The 6,000-nt window shown below is 42.9% G+C and overlaps 1 long non-coding RNA gene across 1 annotated transcript in view; it reads left to right on the top strand.

The window, feature by feature from the left end:
* Positions 1–394: 394 nt before the first annotated feature.
* The window catches only part of LINC00504 (long intergenic non-protein coding RNA 504), a 417,705-nt gene continuing 412,099 nt past the window's right edge, over positions 395–6,000 (top strand). The window contains exon 1 of the long non-coding RNA NR_126435.1: positions 395–505. This is a non-coding gene — a long non-coding RNA (long intergenic non-protein coding RNA 504). The remainder of the gene's footprint in view (positions 506–6,000) is intronic.

Here is a 6,000-nt window from a genome sequence, read left to right as displayed (position 1 = left end):
AGGCTTGCTGTGTGGCTTGAATGAAGTTCTCACTGCAAAGCATGTGATCCAGACTTGGGCACAAGGTTGACTCCTACTGTCAAAGGCTCAGCAGAAATGACAGCTATGGTGAGCTTTCACCTCCTGCAGGCTTTAGGAAACCAGTGTGTAATGGGAAAATAGAGTAAAAACGACTGATATGGTTTGGCTGTGTCTCATCCAAATCTCAACTTGAATTGTATCTCTCAGAATTCCCACATATTGTGGGAGGAACCCATGGGGAGGTAATTGAATCATGGGGGCCGGTCTTTCCTGTGCTGGTCTTTCCTGTGCTGTTCTCGTGATAGTGAGTAAGTCTCACAAGGTCTGATGGGTTTATCAAGGGTTTCTGCTTTTGCTTCTTCCTCATTTGTCTCTTGCCTCTGCCATGTTAGAAGTGCCTTTCGCCTCCCACCATGACTCTGAGGCCTACACAGCCACGTCGAACTGCAAGTCCACTTAAACCTCTTTTCGTTCCCAGTTTCAGGTATGTGTTTATCAGCAGCATGAAAATGGACTAATACAACTACCCTTGAAAATCCCTTAAGCCAAATGATTGCATATATGGTTTTATGCCCATGAAAATAAGGTCGCTTCTGGTTAGCGGCCAAAGTGAACAAAAACCAAGTAAACAAGACATATATTTTAGAATTAAGATCATATTGATCATAGAACTTATTCACCATGTTAGATATGCAGGGGAGTAAGAAAGTCCAGGGCCGACCTCATGGTTGTGCATTCTGTGCCATTGTAAAGGGCCTCACACTCAGAAGAACCCTGTGCTTGGCCCAATGCTCTGCTATCACTGTCTTGAAATTCTTAATTTTTGAATAGGGAGTCTCTCAATTTTACTTTCCTCTGGTCCCTACAAATTATATAGTCAGCCCTTGTCATATATTTAAATTATTATTTCTCACTTACCCTCATTCCCATCCCAATTTGGTATAGTTGAATTCACATAAAGGCTTATATGATATGTTGTATAGCTAACTGGCTGTGGTACACAGTATCTTAATGTATTTTCAAGCATACCCTCGGAGATTGGTATAATTGGCCCCATTGGAAGGATGTGTAATTTACTCAAGGTCATATGATTAGTAAGGCAATTGGTATGCCTGTCTACTCTTTCTATTATGCCACAATGAATGAGAAAAAAAAACAGAAGGAAATTTCAGTGCAAAAGTAAGAGTTATAGGAGTACATTTGAACTAAACCGATGAAGAGGGGCATGCTGGAACCAGCAACACATTATGTATTTATGTAAAATTCCTTCAGATGTGTGCTTGCTTCCTGGCATGAAATCTGCAGCATTTTGCTCGTCATTGTATTCCCAGCCCCTGGCATAATGGTTAGCATGTAGAGGACGCTCAATAAATACTTGTCGAATGAAGGATATTCCTGCCAGATTCTTCTTCATTCTGCATTAATAATTTGGCCTTCCTTCTTGCATATTCATATGTTTGCTCCTTTTATTTGAATCCCCGTCTGTTTGATAGAAGAATGTTCTTTAGCAAGCGTGACGATTAATGATATCAGGCAAAAAGCCCCAAGATCTTAACTGATGAACAAACACAAACTTTGTTAATGATGCTTTTTGTAGAAGACATTGCTGGTTTATTATGTATTTCAAGCTAAAGGAGAATTCTAGCTACCATTTGAATTCTCTGCTACCTGGAGTGCCTTGGAAAAGGCCTTGGGAGAAAGAACTCCTCTTGCAAGTTGCAATTTTAAATTAGGAGTAATCTCCCTGCCACACCTAGGAATGAATTAGCACACTCTTTCTGTGTCATTATCCATTCATCCTTACTCTGTCCCTATAGTCAATGTGTCATGAGGGGCTTTTGATTTTTCCTCCTAAATTGCTCAACACCACCCCTCCTCTCCATGATCGGTTATTTCTCCATCTTGGAACTCACATTTCTCCTCCCTGTACTAACCCAATGGCCTTTTAGCACGCCTCTCTGCCTCCTTCTAATGTAGTCATTGCACAGAAGCCAGAGAAGTCTTTCCAATAAAAGACCCTAAACTCAGCACCCTCCGATTACAAGGCCCCCAGTCTCTCACTGCCAACTGCGTAAGCTCATACCTATTGGCCCAGCATTGCAGAACCCTCACCATCCTTCTCTTAACTACCTTTCTAGTTGATTCCTCTGCATAAACCCACTCATGGCATAACCCAGGCTTGCAGTCTGGTTCTCTGAGAAGCAGACTCAAGTGCAGAGTTTAGTGTTCAGGTGAGATCAACACCTGTGAGGGGAAGGATGGAGGGAAGAGATAAACTATGGTAATGCAGTACCAATGGTGGCCTCTGCCTACCCCAGTGGGAGCTCTGGAGAAAAATTGCTGCTAAGATTTTCCCTCAGTGGACCCAAATGTCTGAGCAGTGGTGGGGAGGGGGCTGCTTCTGGGATGGTGTGACCTTGGGTAAGATGGCTCTCTGCAGCCCAGGCCACCCCTGAGGAGCTGACCGCTGGAGATGTTTCTCTGCGAATGTTTCCAGCATCTGGGAAAACAAAATTTTTCCCTCTCAGAAGGAGGATCTAGGAAGTGTATCTCCATGTTTACTTCACCTAATCTCTTTTTTCTGCAAAGAACTTTTCCTCCTTTTCTGTGGCTTCATGCCTTTGTACCTGCCTTTTCTTCTGTCTGAAATGCCACTTGCCTGCCTCTTTCTCCCTTTGATCTAAATACTTTTTTTGTTTGTTTGTTTTTGAGCCGGAGTTTTGCTCTTGCTGCCCAGGCTGGAGTGCAATGGCGCGATCTCGGCTTACTGCAACCTCTGTCTCCCGGAGTTCAAGAGATTCTCCTGCTTCAGCCTCCCTTGTAGTTGGGATTACAGGCATGCCCCACCATGCTGGGCTAATTTTGTATTATTATTATTATTATTATTTTTAAGACCGAATTTCTCTCCTCTTGCGCAGGCTGGAGTGCAATGGTGTGATCTCGGCTCACCGCAACCTCCGCTTCCCAGGTTCAAGCAATTCTCCTGCCTCAGCCGTACTGAGTAGCTGGGATTACAGGCATGCAACACCATGCCTGGCTAATTTTGTATTTTTAGTAGAAACGGGGTTTCTCCATGTTGGTCAGACTGGTCTCGAACTCCCGACCTCAGGTGATCCACCCATCTCGGCCTCCCAAAGTGCTGGGATTACAGGTGTGAGCCACCATGCCTGGCCTGATCTGCATAGTTTTAGTTTTCCTTTATGACTGATGTCAAATGCTAAGTCTTCTTGAAGCCTCCTGTCACTCATCCAGGCAGATTTAGTTGCTATTTAATATTTTCAGTCAATGTACATTGCATATATGCATGCATCATAACCTCTGGACACACTAAAGATATAGGAGGTACAATCCGTGCCCTTATGACCTCCTAAAGATATGTGTCCCTTTTTTTGTGCTGTGGCAATGCTCAGTGCTTTCTTTTATTTTTAGCATCTGCTACATTACTTCTTTATTCATCCACTCAGTTATTCATTTGTTCATTCACTGAGTATTAATCAAGCATTTGCCTTCTATGTATCCAGTGTTTCTGTAAGCCCTAGGATACAATGATGCATAGTCAGGTTTGCTGAAGGGTAAATATTAATCAATGGATCATATAAAGTTTGCACAATTCTAACTTGGACAAAGAGTATGAAGTTCATGGAGCTAGGAGGTTTTACAATAGCTCGTTTAGCCTAGTCAGGGAGGTCAGGGGAAGTGGGTGGTAGAAGTGATTATTACAATATAATTTGGTGAAGGGAGAGGAGAAGAAGCCTTTCAGGTAGAGATTGCAGAATGTGCTCAAGCCCCATGGCAGGAGAGTGGAAAGAGAATTTAAAGATGAAAATGAAGTTGCACGAGGCTGGAGTTCACAGAGCGAAGAGAATAGTAGAGAACAATGTGTCGTGATTGCAAATGCTCATGGGAATGTTTATAGCTTGGCATTTATGCTCAGAGCAGTGGGAAGCCATTGAAAGGTTTTAAGCAAGAGGTCGAAATGATCAGATTAGAGAGCTGAAAATATGCTCTGACTTCAGTATGGAGAATAGATTGGAGGATGGCAGAGATGCCATGTAGGAGGCAGGGCTGTTAACTAATGAAATGAGGGTAGCTTGAACTAAGGTGGGGGATGGACAGTGGGAGATAGATCTAGAGCAATTTAGGGGAAAATGAAAAACAAACCTGGCAATCCTTGGTGATTCGTTTGTATGTCATCTGGGATGACAGAAAGGGAAGTGTCAAAGCTGACTTTAGGTTCCCATTGATCCCTAGCTCTTTTGGATTCTAAATCTGATGAAAATTATAAACCTCTTTCTGGAGGCAGACACACACACACACACACACACACACACACACACACACACACACGCAGCATTTTGAATGTCATTTCAGAAGGACATATAGAACTTGTAAAGCCCATTTATGAGCCCCAGGTGGGAAAGAAAACCAAATCTTATTCCTCACTGTACCTCTTGATTCTATTCTAGAAAACAGTGTGGAATCTGGCATGCAGTACATGTTCGTTGAAGTAATGAATAAAGGTGAGAGGAGATAGAGGGCACTGAGACACTTCTAGTGGTTAATTTTCTGCCCTTTCAACTGCAATATGGATGTAGGCAGTTATAGAAGAGTTATAACTTGCATGTCTATGTACCAACTGCTCATTAACTTGCAAGGCAGCATTAGGTGGGAGAGTCCACAAATGGACTCATGAGCCTCCAGGTGGTGAAGAGGAATAAATTTCAAAGTATTAAGGTTCCAAAGACCCAAGATTTGTCTGCAGCAGCTGTCTCTTCATAATGCTAAGTACTTTGGACTAAAGAATAAAAGTGTCTGCCTTTATTTTATGTGGGGGAGTGCATCATTTAGAGATGAAGACAGTCTGCCTATGGCTGAATGGGTAAGTTAGGTTAATGTTATCGTGTGGAAGAAGCAAAAATGATAACTGTGTTCATAGACAGAGATTTAGAACAGAATCATGTCTTTGCAGATAAGACATTTCAGGAGGCCAGTAAAGATAAGAGGGAGAAAAAATGCATAGAAGGAAGTTTTAGGAAAGATTTAGTTTGCCCTTATTAACCCTAGGCTAGGTTGGATTTTTCTCTTTGTGCTTTGAACAGCTGCATGTTAGAAGGAATTGCCATCTGAACCACAGACTCTCTGAAGGGCCTTAGCGATCACCTGGTTCAGGCTCCACCAGAGCAGGAATTCCCGCTGCAAGACTCTTAGCAGATGGTTTGTGGTTCCTCCTGAAGCTGGGCTAATGAGGCTCTATTGAACAACTCTGATGAAAAGTCCTGTCCTGATTGTTTAGTCTACACCAGGAATGGCAAATAGATTAAATCTGCATGACAATTCTAATTACTCGATAGTGCTTAAGGATTCTGGGGCTGAGTCTCAATTATTTTCAAAAAGGCAATAATTGTTGTAACTTGGAAGCTAAAACTGTTCTATATTTGCCATTCCTGGGCTAGTTCTTTCAGTCAATGAATTCAACTTACATTTATTGATCATCTACTATGGGCCAGTAGTGTGGTGTTAGAGGGTTGGGTTATAAATATAATGGCTATTTCTCAGTTCACATTTTACCTGCCCTATCTGCTACATCAGATACAGTCGTTCACTTTTTTTTTTGAGACATAGTCTCGCTCTGTCGCCCAGGCTAGAGTGCAGTGGCACTATCTCGGCTCACTGCAAACTCTGCCTCCCAGATTCAAGCAATTCTCCTGCCTCAGCCTTCCAAGTAGTTGGGACTACAGGCATGTGCCATCATGCCTGGCTAATTTTTTATGTTTTTAGTAGAGACAGGGTTTCACCATGTTAGTCAGGATGGTGTCTATCTCCTGACCTTGTGATCCACTGGCCTCGGCCTCCCAAAGTGCTGGGATTACAGGCATGAGCCACTGTGTCTGACCCACTTTTCCCTTCTTAAAATATCTTCCTACCCCACAACCCCACCATCCAGCCCCACTGCAATACCCCTGCTTTTGGTTTCTCTGA

This window comes from Homo sapiens, chromosome 4 (genome assembly GCF_000001405.40).
Source record: "Homo sapiens chromosome 4, GRCh38.p14 Primary Assembly".
In the NCBI taxonomy this organism is placed as follows: Eukaryota; Metazoa; Chordata; class Mammalia; order Primates; family Hominidae; genus Homo; species Homo sapiens.
This window is presented reverse-complemented; position numbering and strand designations above follow the sequence as displayed.